The following is a 17,980-nucleotide window of genomic DNA, read 5'->3' as shown; positions in this document are numbered from 1 at the left end:
ACATTTTCTTCTCTCTTTTTTTTGAGTCTCACTGTGTCAGTGTCACCCAGGCTGGAGTGCAATGGTGTGATCTTGGCTCACTGCAACCTTTGCCTCCTAGGTTCAAGCGATTCTTGTACCCTAGCCTCTCGAGTAGCTGGGACTACAGGCATGTGAAACCACGCCTGGCTAATTTTTGTATTTTAGTAGAGACGGGCTTTCACTATGTCGTCCAGGGTGGTCTCAAACTCCTGACCTCAAGTGATCTGCCCGCCTTGGCCTCCCAAAGTGCTGGGATTACAGGCATGAGCCACCATACCCAGCCTGTTTTTGACATTTTCAGAGTGAGACTTTGATCACAGTCTGTAGGCCAGTTTTTATTTAAAAACCCCTCCCACACAGGGGAGTCTCACAATAAAGACCAGAACATGTGGACTCCTGCAAAGTACATCAGGGAACAGTTTAGGGGAGAATGACCACGATCACCTCCCACCAGGCCAGGCTTTCTGCTGTAATAACCTCAAACAACAGACATGCTCAAGGTCCCTTCAGGAAGGGACCCTGGACTAATAGGCGGGCCGTGAGGCAGGCGCTGCACACAGGGTCTACCCTCTGTATACCATGTGCCCGGCACTGCACCTGCAGGGCAGAGCCTTGCAGAAGACAAACTGCCTATGTGTTTTCCATTGCTAAATTCAAGACTCTACTAATCCATCACCTACCAAAATAGCTATTTGAAAACCAACACGGCTAGGCGCGGTGGCTCACGCCTGTAATCCCAGCACTTTGGGAGGCTGAGGTGGGCAGATCAGGAGTTTGAGACCAGCCTGGCCAACATAGTGAAACCCCATCTCTACTAAAAATACAAAAAATCAGCCGGGTGTGGTGGCGGGCGCCTGTAATCCCAGCTACTCGGGAGGCTGAGGCAGGAGAATCGCTTGAACCTGGGAGGCGGAGGTTGCAGTGAGTGGAGATCGCGCCACTGCACTCCAACCTGGGTGACAGAGTGAAACTCCATCTCAAAAAAAAAAAAAAAAGTTCTTGCTTGGGATAATTTTATCTTATTTGGATAATTTTATCTTATTTAGGTAATTTCAAAGTAGCCATAGACAAGTGTTACTTATGATTCTTCGGAGAGACAAGAGCCCTACCACCTTAACGGTGTAACTTGCCAACAAGTTTAAAAAAAAAAAAAGAAAGAAAATCAATTTATCATTTTCTCTACCTAAATTTTTATCTTTAGATGAAATGGGAAAAAATACACAACAATAAAATTCTTTTGAGGAAGATATAAAGAGCTTCTGCAACAGCAGACTAATTTTAATCTTGCTAGGAGCAACAACTTTTGTCTGTGCGTGTGTGTTAATTATTAATTTTAAACTTTAACAGCTGTCTTTTATAAGCTCACACGGTTGGGATCATCTGACTGGAATCTATTTAGCAGTGTATCTCGTCCCGTCGCCTCGGGCAGAATCAACACAGACACAGAAGAAAGAATCACTTGTTCACTGACAAAAAGTTTATATGGTAGAAAACACCATCTAGGGTAAAAGGTCCACTTAAAACATGTCACAAAACACTTGTTTATAGGAAAGGTGCCTTTCTCTCTCAAGAAAACAGGAGTTTTCTAACAACAGCACTTCAGCAAGCTTACATTATCAGTGCAAGCAGCTTAGGCGAAGCAAAGCTTAATATGAAGACAACAGGGCAAATACTCATAGGAACTCTGGGCTGCAATTTTTTTGTAAGAAAGTAACAGAACAACCGCTCCACCTCCCACTCCCAGCCTAGAAGATTCTAAGACCCTGACCAGGCCGGGTGCAGTGGCTCACGCCTGTAATCCCAAAACTTTGGGAGGCCAAGGCGGGTGGATTACTTGAGGCCAGGAGTTCGAGAGCAGCCTGGCCAACATGGCGAAACCCTTTCTCTACTAGAAATACAAAATTAACCGGGCGTGGTGGTGTGCCCCTGTAATCCCAGCTACTCAGGAGCCTGAGGCAGGAGAATCGCTTGAACTCAAGAGGTGGCGGTTACAGTGAGCCGAGATCGCGCCCTGCACTCAAGCCTGGGCAACTGAACGATACCCTGTCTCAAAAACAAGCAAACAAACACCAACCCAGTGGGGCACATGACGTTTGCTAGCATCTCTACCAGATGCTAGGTAGCAGAAGGAAAGGAAGGGAAATGGGCAGTTTTAAATACACTTTAGTGGCTGTTGAGATAGTGCTACAGGGGTGGCATGATCATTTGCTCTTCACCCAATTACGCTGCTTTGCGGCATCTCTTTACATCTCATTTTCTGTTCCTTAAATCCTCACACGTTCGAGGCAGGGACTATTCAACCCAATAGGTGCCCACAAATATCTGTTCATTGGCTTAGCGGTCTACTCATCAAAAATGACACAGACTCTGACAAAGGTCTGTTTAATCTGCTCACTGCTGACAGTTAAACTGGATAAATAAAGCTCCAAAACACTTTCCAGGCCCAAACTATGTAACCTAAACAGATGAAAAGAACTGGAAAATTACAAAATCCCTTACTGGCTGTGTACGATGCAATGACAACCGTACTATATATTTTCCTAATTTATTTGGGGTCATCACTGATGGCCTCAACATGCATTTCCCAAGTACTGATCACACTAAATGAAAACCATGGTTGAAACACACAGAAGGTCTACACGCTACAGGGTGCCGGGCATGGATTCAAGCACTAAATATAAATTCATTAAGTCTCATATTAACCTCAGATGTTTGGTGTTATTATCATTTTTTGAGACAGGGTCTTGCTCTGATGCCCAGGGTGGAATGCAGTGATGCAAACACAGCTCACTGTAGCCTTGACCTGCCAGGCTCAAGCAATCCTCCTGCTTCAGCCTCCAGAGTAGCTGGGACTACAGCAGCACACCACTACACCCAGCTAAATTTTGTGGGTTTGTTTTTTTTTTTTTTTTTTTAATAGAGATGGGGTCTTCCCATGTTGCCCAGGCTGGTCTCAAACTCCTGGGCTCAAGTGATCCACCTGCCTCAGCCTCCCAAAGTGCCGGGATTACAGGCATAAGCCACTGAACCTGGCTGTTATTACTATTTTTATTTACAATTAAGGAAACCAAGGATCGGAAATGTTTTACTTTATTTATAAATTGCCCAACGTGGAGAATAGCAAAGCCAGGATTCAAACCTGGGCAGTCTGGCTCCAGGATTTACACTCCAAATCACCATCCTATGCTGCAGTCTATTTTATTTTATTTTTTTAGACAGGGTCTCGCTCTGTTGCCCAGGTTGGAGTACAGTGATCCTCCCACCTCAGCTTTCAGAGTAGCTGGGACTATAAGCACGTGTCACTATGCCTGGCTACTATGCTGATTTTCATCTAATTAAATCATATAGAAATTATTAAGAAGAGATAATAATATTTCTTTTTAAATGGTATTAAAATATGATGTCAGCATTTAAATTCCATCATTTAAGGCACTCTTCCTATCTTGCCAGCACAGCCTGGTGAGAAGGAAGAGGCCTTCAGAGCCTGAAATATTCCACTTTCCTTCTGCCATATGCCTGGGTCACACTGGCTCTCTGATTCTTGGCTTCCTGATCAACAGGGAAGAGGACAGAAAGCCAGCCCTTCCCACCTCAAGGGTATGAGGAATAAGTGAGATGGGCTGAGGCAGGCCTTTGTAAAAGAGAAAGCAGATTCTTTCCAGGACCCCTCAATCTAGAGAAGCCACCGCCCCCCCGCCTTTACTACCTGGATAAAGTACAGCTGATCCTCATTATCCCCAGGTTCTATATTTGCAGACTTGCCGACCTGCTAAATTATTTTTAACATATATATGTATTTCTAAATAAAACAGAGATGGGGTTAAGCCATACTGCCCAGGCTGGTCTCCAACTCCCACGCTCAAGTGATCCTCCTGCCTTGGCCTCCCAGAGTGCTGGGATTACAGGTGTGAGCCACCGAGTCCAGTCCTACTTGCTAAAATTTATTTGTAACCCCAAAATGGACACTCATGGCACTTTCATGGTTATTTCGCTGACATGAGTGTGTACAAAGTGGCAAAAAATTTGAGTCACCCAACACACAGATTCCTAGTTGAGGTGACCAAGGCTACATGCCTTCTCTCAGCTCATTCTTGTCTTTTTCTTAGCATTTTTAGTGCCATATTTTTTGCATTTTTGTGCTTTTTGCTGGTGATTTCACTGTTTAAAAGGGTCCCAAGCACAGTGCTGAAGTGCTGTCTAGCATTCCTAAGCAGAAGCAGGCTGCAGTGTGCCTTACAGAGAAAAAACATGTTCAAGAAGCCTTATTCAGGAATGTGTTACAATGCCGCTGTCAATGAAGAGTCAATAATATATATTAAATTAGGTGTCTTTAAATGGAAATGCACCTAGGACAAGGTATACATTGATCAGATGACGGAAACGTGTGACCAGAGGCTCACAGGAACATAGCTACCCATGTATTTGCCTCCGGAGCAATGGATCAGTATTTCCTAATTCAGTGCTTGCAGCAACTTTATAAAACAAACTACTGGGGGTAATGAGATTTGACTATATTAGCTAAAAGTTGTATAATGAAAATTCACTCCCTCCGAGTAGAGGCAGCTACTATAGGAGGACAAAGCACAGGCACTGACGTCCAGGGTCCTGAAGCGAAACAGGAAACACACAATCTTGGTGCCCGCTGGGCCTCCAGGTCTCCCTCCCTTTCACAGCCAAGCAGCCTTTGGCCAGCATCAACCCAGAGAACAGAGACAAGGGCTCTCGTCCCTCCATCCAAGGTCTATGGAGCTCAGAAGCACACGGCAGGCTCACCTCCCAGGGCCTCCGAGGTTCCTTCTTATCCATGTGAGAGCCTATGGCCCAGCCCCTGTAGGAAATACCAAGGCTGGTCTTGGGGGCTGGAGGACCCTCCATGGAGCCCCCCCTCTGTTCCAGATGACCTCATGCCATTCACACCACCCTCCAGCCCCCGCTGCTGGCCCACATCAGGACTGACATCCCGCTTTTCCAGGCTGAGCCTCAGAGATCAATTTCCAACAAAGACCGTCAGCATCCAAAGGGGGGAGCCAAAAAAACAGACTCAGCTCTCTGGGTCACCCAGGCGATCCTCTGACAACTTACATGGGAAAATCAGCATATATTCTTGCATGGCAGCCCCTCTTAGAAAGCATTCAAGGAAGGAGGCAGAGGCTTCAGACCACTCCAAACTCATTTTATGAGTCATTCAAACACCAGGAAGAAAAATGGCCTGGAGGCTAAGCAAGCACTGTTGAGACCAAACCTAAGACTCAAAATGAAAAGCCATTTTCTTAAAGCCATAGGGGAAAATATGTACTGCCACCCCGTGATTCTAGGATCCTGCCACGTGGAGACCACATGAGGTCCTGCCGCCCCAGACAGAAATACCCTTGTGTTTCTCCCTGAGGTTGAAGGAAAATGGAAATGAAGCTACCAGCTCTGGACACGGCTCAACAAGGCTGAACTAGCTCCCATTGTAAGCGGGAGATGCCAATGCTAATAAAATGTCACCTCCATTACTTTTGCCAGGGTTATAAAAAGAAACTGGAGACTTCCTCACTTGGGCATCTTCTGTTAATTGCCATTTACAAAAGTTCTGTTTGCTAGGTCTATAATATGCATTATTTTCCCTTTGAAAACAAAAAGAAACTCCTAAAATATCAATCAGCCTTCCAAATGGCAAAGTGATTTGTTTCCCAACTCACACTCTGGGATCAGCTCAGGAGTCTGTCTGAAATGCAGGCATCTGGTACCAATTTGTGACAATATAAAATCAAAGCTGAACTCCTATGTAAATATTTTTTTTATTCCAGATCTCACCAGCCTCCATGTATCTTATTCATTTCCTTATATTTCAGCCTTGACTTTTATTTTCTTGGCTCTAACAGAACTGAAGTTACGCATAACGAACATTGCACTTCTTAATAAGCTCTACAGGCTAAATTATTTCTGGCTCTGTGAAATGCTGCTGCTCACAGAGTACTGGATTGAAATATATTGTTCCTATTGCTTCCGATCTGCCAGGCCCCAATTATTCAATTACGTTTGTAGCAAACAGGGTCAAATAAAAAAGTCTGGTTTAGTCATTCTGTACACACATAGCAGCTTCCCACCAACAGGGGCTGGATGGGTAAATGACATGAATATCAGCGTATGTTCTTAGACAGTGCAAGTGTTGAACAGTACAGGTGTCCAGAAACACTGGCCCATCCTAAAACAACCTGTTTTGTTCAGGAAGGTCACAAAATTTGTTTAGATAAAATGTCACACGTGTCAAAAGGCAAGAGAGCAGAGTGGGAGAGGATGGGCTTCCGTTAGAAGGGATCCCTGCTCTACATGACTTGGTGAGAAAACTCAATTCTCTAAAGTTCAAATCCCTTGCTGACATGGTGACATCAGCCCCTACAAAATCTGTACGGCACCAACAGAGTATATGGGATACAAGAGTCCCATTAGATATTTACTGAGAACTATGTTCTAGGTACTGTAAGTGCCTTACAGAGATCTCAGATTTGCTCTTCGCAGTCACACTACGAGGCACCCGATTGTTAAATATCGTCTCCCCCTCTTTACAGATGATAACAAAGGCTCAAGAAGATTAAGGAATCGGCAGATGTGGGATGTGCAATTTCCCTATGGCTCGGTAGATGATCAAGTTAAACAGGCACGCTATTATGAAAAACCACCAATAAAATGGGAGAAAGACATAACTGCTGCTGTATGTGGAGACTGCACCTCAGCCTTAATTTGACTTGCCGAGCAAGAACAAATGGACAGCACACCGGGTGCTTGTTTAGTTACCGCGGCACATGATTATGAGGTTTCCAGAAGGCATCTTCTTCACATGTGAGATCACTCAGACTTCAGCACTTGGCAATCAGATACAAACATGTGCAAGTTGAACTAGAAATTGTTTGAAAAAGCTAATGATCTTGCTCTAGATTTTTTTTTTAATTAGAAGACTATATGTGTTCAACTGAAATTGAATAAATGAAATCTGATTTGGGACATTTCTACAATTTTTTTTTGAGACAGTCTTGTTCTGTCACCCAGGCTGGAGTGGGTGGTGTGACTTCGGGTCACTGGAACCTCTGCCTCCTGGTTACAAGCAATTCTTGTGCTTCCGCGTCCTAGGTGGCTGAGATTACAGGTGTGTGCTATCACACTCAGCTAATTTTTATATTTTTAGTAGAGATGGGGTTTTGCCATGTTGGCCAGGCTGGTCTCAAACTCCTAGTCTCAAGTGATCTGCCCGCCTCAGCCTCTCAAAGTGTTGGGACTACAGGCATCAGCCATGGTGCCTGGCCTATTTTTTGTTTTTTGAGATGGAGTCTTGCTCTGTTGCCCAGGCTGGAGTGCAGTGGTGCGATCTCTGCTCACTGCAACCTCCACCTCCCGGGTTCAAGCGATTCTCCTGCCTCAGCCTCCCGAGTAGCTGGGATTACAGGTATGTGTCACCACGCCTGGTTACTATTTATATTTCTAGTAGAGACAGGGTTTCACCATGTTGGTCAGCCTGGTCTAGCACTTCTGACCTCAAGTGATCTGTCTGCCTCAGCCTCCCAAAGTGCCGGGATTACAGGCATGAGCCACTGCACCCAGCCCCAGCCTATTTTTTTTAAATTGTTGTGTTCAAAATTAATCTTAAAAGGTAATATTGCTGGTCATAGTGGCACATGCCTGTAATCCTAGCACATTGGGAGGCTGAGGCAGGCAGATGGCTTGAGCCCAGGAGTTTGAGATCAGCCTGGGAAAGATGGTGAAATCTCATCTCTACAAAAAAAATATAAAAATTAGCCAGGTGTGGTAGTGCATGCCCGTAGGCCCAGCTATTTGGGTGGCTGAGGTGGGAGGATTGCTTGAGTCCAGGAGGTCGAGGCTGCAGTGAGCCAAGGTTATGCCGCTACACTCCAGCCTGGGAGGGAAAAAAAAAAGTAACATTAAAAATTTTAGACCAGCCAGGCGTAGTGGCTCACGCCTGTAATCCCAGCACTTCAGGAGGCCAAGGTAGGCGGATCACAAGGTCAGGAGTTCAAAACCAGCCTGGCCAACATGGTGAAACCCTGTCTCTACTAAAAATACAAAAAACAGCAGGGCGTGGTGGTGGGCGCCTGTAATCCCAGCTACTCGGGAGGCTGAGGCAGGAGAGTCATTTGAACCCGGGAGGTGGAGGTTGTAGTGAGCCAAGATCACGCCATTGCACTCCAGCCTGGGCAACAAGAGCGAAACTCTGTCTCAAAAAAGATAAAAAATAAAAAAATTTTAGACCAAGGCCTGGCATGGTGGCTCGAGCCTATAATCCCAGCACTTTGGGAGGCCGAGCCAGGCGGATCACTTGAGGTCAGGGGTTTGAGACCATCCTGGCCAACATGGTGAAACCCCATCTCTACCAAAAATACAAAAATTAGCCGGGCATGATGGCAGGTGCCTGTAATCCCAGCTACTCGGGAGGCTGAGGCATAAGAATCGCCTGAACCCAGGAGGCAGAGGTTGCAGTGAGCCGAGATCTTGCCACTGCACTCTAGCCTGGGAAATAGAGTGAGACCGTCTCAAAAAAAAAAAAAAAAAATTAGACCAAACGATTATAAACTTGAGATGGTATCTAACCATAAATATCATTCTCCACCTTGGGAGAAAAAGGAAAATCTCCATACGTAAATATTCAATCAACAAGTTACTTAAGACCCTACAGATATATTACCTCAAGCCATTAGGACAGTAACGGCAAGGATTAGGGGGAGAAATAGGCAATGAGAAGAAATAGGGTCATCTTTAGTTACACAATTTTTCTGCCAAGTAGCATTTTAGCTCATTCATTAATTTTTTTTAAAGACAGGGTTTCACTATGTTGCCCAGGCTGGACTCCTGGGCTCAGGCAATTCTCCCACCTCAGCCTCCAGATAGCTAAGATTATAGACACAGGCCACCATGCCTAGCTTGGTAGCATTTTTAAACTCATAACACTGGATCAAGCTAATACTCCTGTCTCAGAGATGGCACTGCTACCCAATCAGTCCATAGGCCTGAAACCCCGGAGTCTCCTCAATGCCTTCCACTCCCCCTGCTCCGTATCTAATCCATCTCCATTGTGCCTTTCATCTCTGTTGAGTCCGTTCACTTCTCTCCACCCGCTTCGCTACCACTGTGGTGCAAGTGGCCCCCATGTCCTGCCTGGCCCACAGCATCAGCACTCTCGTTTCTTCAAACCCGCTGCTCCTCCTGCCTGCATGAGCCCTTCTGGCCCTGGTCTGCACCAGCTGCTCTTCCTGTCTGCCCCAATCCTTCTAGCCCTTGTCAAGTCCTTGATACCTGTCCACTCTTAGACCTTAGTTCAGCAGTCACCTCCCGAAGCAAGCCTTCCTCAACCTGCCACAGTGCAGTCCAATCCACCATCACTTATCACAGGCCAACAGGATCAAGGCTGTCCCCGCTCTGTGACTCACCCCAGGCCTGCAGTCTTCCATCTGTCGGTGGATTACTCAAGAGCTTCTCTCCAATTAGACAAAAGCTCCACCAATGGCAGGGAACATTCAAGTTCCCTACAAGTTCTATCAGCTCTACCTCCAAGACGCACCTGCCATCCACCCACCCTTCACCATCTCTACCTCTGTCCAGGCTACTGTGTGTCTCAGCAGGAAGCTCTCGCCTAAAGGCAAGAGGCTGCCAGAGGTCTCACATCCATGTCTGTCCTCCTTCAATCCATGGCAGTTAGCGGGACCTTAAAACGTAGGCCAGGGAGGCCCGGCACAGTGGCTCACGCATGTAATCCCAGCACTTTGGGAGGCCGAGGCAGGCGGATCATGAGGTCAAGAGATCGAGACCATCCTGCCTAACACAGTGAAACCCCGTCTCTACTAAAAAATACAAAAATTAGCCGGGCGTGGTGGCGGGTGCCTGTAGTCCCAGCTACTCGGGAGGCTGAGGCAGGAGAAGGGCGTGAACCCAGGAGGCAGAGCTTGCAGTGAGCCGAGATCGCGCCACTGCACTCCAGCCTGGGCAACAGAGCGAGACTCTGCCTCTCAAAAAAAAAAAAAAAAAAACGTAGGCCAGGGCACTGTGCTCCCCAGCGGCTTCTAATAAAGACAATGAGAGCTCTTAGCGTTATGAGGCATCCGCCCGATTCTCAGGTCAGCCCCCTTGGCTCCCCGAGTTCACTATGCTCCAACCACCCTGGCCTTCTTCCTGCAACAGATCAAGTGCATCGGCATCTCAGGACCCTAGAACACACGGCTCCCCATGCCTGAAACCTGCGTCCCATCTCTCGGTGGTGAACTGCTTTCTCATCTTCCCGAGAAAGCCTTTCCCAGTCACAACACCTAATAGAAGTTCACAGACTCCCACGACCCTTCACCGAACCCTCCAGAGTTTAGTCTACTTATAGTTGGTTTGGTTGCCTCTTTTCCCCATTGCCAGCACGAGCCACTAAGGTCTGTGGTGGCAGGGGTCCCACCCCTCCGGGGCTCCCCCATATCCCAGTGCTTGGCACAGGGCAGAGGCTGTCCACAAATCTGCTTGGATACTTGAAAAACTACTACGACCTGGCTGGGCGTGGTGGCTCACGGCTGTAATCCCAGCACTTTGGGAGGCCGAGGTGGGCGGATCACGAGGTCAGGAGATTGAGACCATCCTGGCTAACACAGTGAAACCCCATCTCTACTAAATACACATACACACACAAAATTAGCCAGGCGTGGTGGCGGGCACCTGTAGTCCCAGCTACTCGGGAGGCTGAGGCAGGAGAATGGCATGAACGCGGGAGGTGGAGCTGGCAGTGAGCCAAGATCGCGCCACTGCACTCCAGCCAGGGTGACAGAGCAAGACTCCGTCTCAAAAAAAAAAAAAAAAAAACAAACACCAACTACTATGACCTTAAAATAGAGGTGGAGAGGAAATGCTTTAGGACACAGATGAGGGAACATATACCCCAGACACAAGGAGGCAGGGAAAGCCAATGCAAAAGGGAATCATCAGAGCCAAGCCTAGAAGTTCACCAGAGACAGAGCATGGCCGTGTCGGGACAGAAAAGGAGTGGCGAGCCTAACGGTGGTGATGCCAAGCCTCAACCTCAACCCTGCATTACCTGGATAGCAGAGCCCCCACATCAGCGATAACTTCTGTCCATTTGTGCTAGAATAAATAAAATCTTTTCTGGAGCACTAGACACTGTTCACATCTTCCAGAAGGTCCAGTAAAGCTGGAGGTACACAAGGCTTTGTCCACAGTGGCTGCTCCCAAGCCTGAACGGGCGACAGGCGCAAGTTGGGGCCTTGTTGAAATAGATTGCTGGGCCCCGCCCCAGAGCTTCTGACCCAGTGGGTCTGAGGCTGGGCCTGGGGATCGTGTTTCTAACAAGTTCCTGGCCGCCGCTGGTCCAGAGAGCACATTCTGAAAACTACTGGGCTAACACGCCAAAGAATCAAACAAAAACAGACGTATCCAGGATAGAGTTTAGCTTTTTTTTCCAAAAATTCCATGGCTGGGCACAGTGACTCACTCCTATAATCCCAGCACCTTGGGAGACTGAGGTGGGTACACTGCTTGAGCTCAGTAGTTCGAGACCAGCCTAGGCAACATGGTGAAACCCTGTCTCCACTAAAAATACAAAAATTTACTGGCAAGGTGGCACATACCTGTGGGTCCCAAGTACTGAGGAGGCTGAGGTGGGAAGGTGGCTCAAGCCCTGGAGGCAGAGGCTGCAGTGAGCCAAGATTGTAGTACTGCACTGCAGCCTGGGCAACAGCGAGACTCCATCTCAAAAAAAAGTAGACAAACTTCCTAAAAGTAAAAATTTTGGATGAGTACAGGTTGATTTATCTGAAGAGACAATTAGGATGCCAAAGGGGTTAAAAACAAAAAGCATGAGGCCAGGCGCAGTGGCTCACCTCTGCAATCCCAGCACTTTGGGAGGCTGAGGCAGGTGGATCACCTGAGATCAGGAGTTGGGGACCAGCCTGGACAACATGGCAAAACCCAATCTCTACTAAAAATACAAAAAAAATTTATCTGGGCATGGTGGCACACACCTGAAGTCCCAGCTACTCAGGAAGCTAAGGCAGGAGGATTGCTTGAACCTGGGAGGCAGAGGTTGCAGTAAACTGAGATCACGCCACTGCACTCCAGCCTGGGCAGAGAGAGCAAGACTCCATCTCAAAAAAAGAGCACTGCTATAGTTTCCTTCCTCCATTCAACCTGTCACCACTTTTGAAAAATCCAGCTCTGCTCACACCTGTGCCTATTCAAAGTCTTCCCGTTTTCCTCTGGATTAAACTCACCGTCTTAAACCAAGCATCCAATGTGCTTTGCCACAGTGCACCCACCGTGAGGTCACAGCTGACCTGAAGGCCCAGTTTCAAGGGCATCTCCAGGACAATCACTGCTCCTACTGCAGGAATGGTGGCCCCTAACCTGTCCGGCTGCCCCAGAGTCCAGCTGCCTTGTGCTGGGCTGTCCTCTTCTGGAATGGGCACTGGGCCCCATTTATCTCTGAACAAGGCCACACTTGCCTGGCATGCAGATGTGTGTGCAGAATCGACATAGAAGTCCCTGCTGACCCAATGCCAAATGGGATCCCTGGACAAAGACCCAACTCTGTTTAACCATGGGGTCAAGGAGAGGAGGTAGAAGCCATGTGCAGAGGGGAAACGGGGCTGAAAGGTGAGGCCAAGGCACCCACGTAGCACCCAACTCAACTCCACATCATGGCCACACAGACCCTGAGGAGCCCTCACACGGGAGAGGGTATCCTGCTTAGAAATGGGGGCCAAGCGGGCCAGACGTGGTGGCTCACACCTGTAATCCCAGCACTTTGGGAGGCTGAGGCGGGTGGATCATGAGATCAGGAGATCGAGACCACCCTGGCTATCATGGTGAAAACCTGTCTCTACTAAACATACAAAAAATTAGCCGGGCATGGTGGCGGGCGCCTGTAGTCCCAGCTACTCGGGAGGCTGAGGCAGCAGAATGGCGTGAATCCAGGAGGCGGAGCCTGCAGTAAGCCGAGATCACGCCGCTGCACTCCAGCCTGGGCAACAAAGCGAGACTCCGTCTCAAAAAAAAAAAAAAAAAAAAAAAAAAAAGGAGGCCAAGCAGGCAGCACGCAGACCATGGAATGAGGGCTATAGCTCTGATAACGAGTGACAAAAGTTGGGTCTTCTCAAATTGTCTCTGGAGGTAGCCCTCCCCCAGCATGTGCCCCACGTGGGCTGCGGGACCCTCCAAGTAGGGCAGCGTCTTCCTGGGCCTGGGTGTGGGCAAAACCGGTTGTTGCTCTTCACCTCACAGCCTCATTGCTCTAAAGGTACAAGGATGAACATGTGAATTCCCCCTACCTTGCTTTATTTTGGCAATAGAAATTGTCACGATTCCAGCGTAAGCAGGGGCAAAATGCAGCACCAAACAGAGGGGTACTGTTTCTCTCTGCTGCTCTGATTTCACTACTACTGATGAAACTAAAACAATGCAGCAAGGTAGCTGTTCAGGATCAGCTCCTCACGATCAGAGCAGACCTTGTCAAATTTCTCAACGGCTTCTTGGACAGTGTAAGGTGCAGTGCAATTGTGAATGGAAATAACAGCTACAATTTTCCTGCTCAATCACTAAGGGCCAAACCTTTGCTAGGTGTTTAGTGTTGCATTCTGCATTCTTATTTTAATATTTGCAACACCCCAAAAGTACTGGAGTCCTTATCCCCATACTACAGGTGAGAACGTGAGGTTCAGAGTGGTTAAGCGTGTTGTCCAAAAGGTGCCGTTAAGCGGCAGAGCTATGGAGCTCCAAAGCTGGTCTTTCCACTCTTCTGCTCACCCATTTTGCTGAGACAGAGGCCTAGCGGCAGGGGTGCAGGAAGAAGAAGGAGCTTACTCCCTGCGGGAGGAACTGATACCAAGCTATTAATATTATCTGGAGAGAGCTGTTGTTATTGGGAAAATTTTCCATGACTCTGGACCCAAATCAGGGTTCTATTGGCCTGCCCGAGGTTATCACGTGAAAATCAGCATGCTCGCTTGATGAGAAGGCGCTGGCTTGCCAAAACTATAGCACAATATTTCTTTGTACTTTAACATACTGACCTTGACTGACTCCAGCCCATAGGTCTTAAACAGATGAGGCCCTAGCATTTTGGTTAACGAACTCACAAGTAGAAGATTTGAGACTGGAAGGAGAATAAAATTCTACAGTACTTAGTTGATTCTTTCTTACGTTTTTCTTAAAATGGTACAGCTACGATAGAGTTTTTGTTTTGAAAACTCTCAACTTAGAAAATGTAAATGTTAAAACTCTAGCTCTACCACATAGTGACTTTCAAATCCATAAAACAGCTACCACATTGCCTTTCTGAAATTACTTGATTTTTAAAAAAGTACTTCTTAAGCTGTTAAGCATCAAACAAATAAACAGAACTTATAATACTATCAATCGTTTTGTGATGGATAAATGGAATCCTACAATTGAGACATTTGTAATCTCATCTTCCTTCTTCACTACTCACCCTCCAAAAACAAACTTTATTCAACTCAATAAATAAAATAATTCATCAAGAACTACCATTCAGGCTGGGCAGGGTAGCTCACGCCTGTAATCCTAGCACTTTGGGAGGCTGAGGCAGGCTGATCACTTGAAGTCAGGAGTTCGAGACAAGCCTGGCCAATCGCTTGAACCCGGGAGGCAGAGGTTGCAGTGAGCCAAGATCATGGCATTGCACTCCAGCCTGGGCGACAGAGCAAGACTCCATCTCCAAAAGAAAAAAAAAAGAACTACCATTCAACATCACATCAACCGTTTGTCCCCCTAACATGCCAGTTTTTGTCCTTAAGCAAAAAACTTTAGACTTTGAATATCTTCCAGCTCCTTACATTTGTTCCTCTACCCCGCCACCCAGCCCTTCTTAAAACTATCGAAGTAGACATTTTGCTTTATAAATAATTTGGTCAATGAGTAAAGTGCTTTAAAATAAAAATCAACGTGCTAGGCACATAAACATTTTTGGCATTTTTGAATATTTTACTAGTATCTGGTTGAATGGTTTTTCTTCTGTTTATCGTAAAACCTAACTTAGATTTACATATACCCTGTGCTTTAAACCAGGGACAAGATTGGGTCCCTCTTGCACACACATATCATTACAATATTCTAAAGTCATAAGCCCCTGGTATTTGCACGTTCTGCTTTACAAGCTCTTGTCTGTGACCAAATGTGCAGTAATAAGCCCCAAACCACAATGAATGATAACCTCATTAAATATGATCTAGTGCGTAGCCATCCAAACTACTAAAACAAAGAGGAAAAGACAAACTAGCAAACTCCAATTAATTATACGTTCTTAGAGGCTTTTCAAAATCAAACAAACATAAAAATACAACATTACACAGTTGGTAAAACAGGGTAATAGCTAATGATTTCATGATTCCCGTATGTAATACTAAGTGGTCTGAGCCCCAGAATCTGTGAAAAGTTTGGTGTTTAAATGGTACACAGGCTGAAACTTGAGGGGGACAGATATTTTTCTAAAGTGGAAAAAATGGATAATGGTGACCCTGGGGAAAATTTACATCATTATGTTAAGCAGCAGATTCTTATAAAAACTTCTGGTTTTCAACATGCTTCCTTTGATAGCGACATTTTGCACAGCCCCCAAAGAGGAGAACAGGACAAAAAGGATGTGTGAGCCAGGCACAGTGGCTCACACCTGTAATCCCAGCACTTTGGGAGGCCGAGACGGGTGGATCACAAGGTCAAGACAGGCAGATCACGAGGTCAAGAGATCGAGCCCAGCCTGGCTAACATGATGAAACCTCATCTCTACTAAAAATACAAAAATTAGGCCAGGCACGGTGGCTCATGCCTGTAATCCCAGCACTTTGGAAGGCCAAAGCAGGCAGATCATCTGAGTTCAGGAGTTTGAGACCAGCCTGCCCAACATGGCGAAACCCCGTCTCTACTAAAAATACAAAAAATTAGCTGGGCATGGTGGCAGGCACCTGTAATCCCAGCTACTTGGGAGGCTGAGGCAGGAGAATTGCTTGAACCCAGGAGGCGGAGGTTGCAGTGAGCCGAGATTGCGCCACTGTACTCCAGCCTGGGCAACAGAGTGAGGCTCCGTCTCAAAGAAAAAAAAAAAGAAAGAAAAAAAAAAAGGATGTGTGGTAAAGCCTTAGGTGCACATGCTGATAACCAACTCTCTGGAAGGGGAAAAAGAAAAACCTTGACTTACAGCATTGGCCGATTCCTGTGGTGTAAATATTCCCACCACAACCGATTTCAGCAACCACCTCAGATTCCTCAGTCGTCTCCAATAAGTGGGTAGGAGTCAGCTCCAAGACACTACAGGGTCTGCAAGAAACCCAGCTTAGAAGCCAGGAAAACTAAAGTTCAATTCTAGCTCTAGATTCCAGCTATGTGGCCTTAGACAAATTTCCTTAACCATCCAGCCTCAGTCTTCTCAGCTCTAAAGTAGGCAACCTGTTTCACAGACTGCCACGCAAATAAAACAACATACGTGAAGGATGTGGCACACAAGAGGTACTCAGAACTCCATACAAGTCACCTCCCTCCTGAGGGTGGGAGAGACAGGCTCAGGTAGGGTGGGCTGGGTGGTGCAGCCTCCACAATCTGTCTCACCTTAGCCCCATGACAGATTGTTTTAGCAAATTAAGAGTCAGGAGCAACTGCTGGATGAAAACAAAGACCTAGAACGTTGTGGGGTGGGGGAACAGAATCAAATTTTCCTCCTCTTACTGTTAGGGAATTGGAGTTTCATTTGTGTTCCCTATGGAGGAGAGATGTGGTCTGTTCCACCAAAAGCTGGCCCCAGGGCAATCCATCAAGCTCTGACCAGACCACGGAGGAGGGGCCCTCCAGTCAGACCAGGGCTGAAGCACAGATCCACAGGGAAGGAAGAGGCCCAGCCAGGAGCGTGTACGAGCATGGGGAGAGCAGCGGCTGGCTCTGTGGCTGACGGAGCTGGAAGGAAGGGGCCTCTTGTGGGAGGCCTTGCCCCAGGAGAAGCCTGAGAGTGCCAGAGCCTGGGGCACGGAGCAGCGTGGGTGCCCTCTGTAAAGACAACACAGTATGGCAGCAACAGGCCTCAGAGGGTGTGTGGGAGCGGGGGAGGTTGCAGTGGCAACCAGGACCCAAGCCAACAGCTGCCTCGCCTGAAATACCAGGAATTTAAGACTGGCAGGATCAGATGTGGGTTTCAGAAGGGTCCCTCTGACAGCCCAGGGGGGGAGGGATTGACAGGGGTCCAAACAGAAGCCAGGAGCCCCTCGGGCCACCACATTATCCAGGCTGTGAAACAAGGCAAGGAGGGTGCAGGCAGGCAGGAAGGGGCCAAGGGGACCTGCACACTTCCTGGGCACAGAGCACTGGGCTAGGGTGGGGGAAGCACAACCACTCTGTGACAAGCCAGGGAATAGGCCATGTGGTCTCTGTCGCAACTACTCGATTCTGTCCTTGTAGCACAAAGGCAGCCAAAGGCAAGACTTGCACGAGTGGGTGTGGTTTTTCCAAGAAAGTATTATTTATAAACAGCCAGAGGGGCAGTTGGGGAAAGGGTGATGCTGAGAAGATACAGCGGGAAACCCGCCCAGGGCGGAGGTGGTAGTATCATTCCCATTTCACAGACGAGGACCCAGCAGAGCTTTAAACTTTAGGAGGCCAGGTTCCTGTTGCTAATTGTACCATGCTCTATATAACACAAGATGTGTAATGTACCAGGTGAGTCAGAGAGGCAATAAAGGTGTCAGGGATTCAGCTGTGGCCAAGAAGAGAGGAAGCACAGGCAGGCAGAGGGCGGGAGTTAATTGCCAGAGTCACAGGAATCCCTATTTAAAACCTGGCCTGTCCTCTGGGCCCAAATGCACAGAGGTCTTCCCTAGATGACAGAAAAGTGGAAACTGAAACAAGGAAATCACAAGTGATCGGGAACCCTTGAGGCCATTTAGGTCAACTTCTGCTCAGTTCAGCTGAAGCCTATTTAACA

General features: G+C 47.4%; 1 protein-coding gene across 4 annotated transcripts in view, besides 2 other annotated features; it reads right to left on the bottom strand.

Moving 5' to 3' along the window:
- The window catches only part of CABLES1 (Cdk5 and Abl enzyme substrate 1), a 125,907-nt gene that overhangs the window by 99,415 nt on the left and 8,512 nt on the right, over positions 1-17,980 (bottom strand). The window contains exon 1 of one of the 4 annotated variants that reach the window (NM_138375.3): positions 5,104-5,231. The exons of the other annotated variants lie outside the window; for them this stretch is intronic. Within the exon in view, the coding sequence (NP_612384.1) occupies positions 5,104-5,153 (50 nt within the window). The 5' untranslated portion in view covers positions 5,154-5,231. Of the gene's footprint in view, positions 1-5,103; positions 5,232-17,980 lie in introns of those variants that run through there. 4 annotated transcript variants of the gene reach the window in all.
- Positions 1,967-2,486: an enhancer, noted in NCBI's record as "H3K27ac-H3K4me1 hESC enhancer chr18:20738534-20739053 (GRCh37/hg19 assembly coordinates)". NCBI's record gives its function as "activates a minimal SCP1, AML or CMV promoter by ChIP-STARR-seq in primed H9 embryonic stem cells {active_cell/tissue: H9 hESC(primed)}" and the evidence as "EXISTENCE:reporter gene assay evidence [ECO:0000049][PMID:30033119]".
- Positions 17,912-17,961: an enhancer, noted in NCBI's record as "active region_13145". NCBI's record gives its function as "activates an Ori minimal core promoter by ATAC-STARR-seq in GM12878 lymphoblastoid cells {active_cell/tissue: GM12878}" and the evidence as "EXISTENCE:reporter gene assay evidence [ECO:0000049][PMID:35858748]".

This window comes from Homo sapiens, chromosome 18 (genome assembly GCF_000001405.40).
Source record: "Homo sapiens chromosome 18, GRCh38.p14 Primary Assembly".
In the NCBI taxonomy this organism is placed as follows: domain Eukaryota; kingdom Metazoa; phylum Chordata; class Mammalia; order Primates; family Hominidae; genus Homo; species Homo sapiens.
This window is presented reverse-complemented; position numbering and strand designations above follow the sequence as displayed.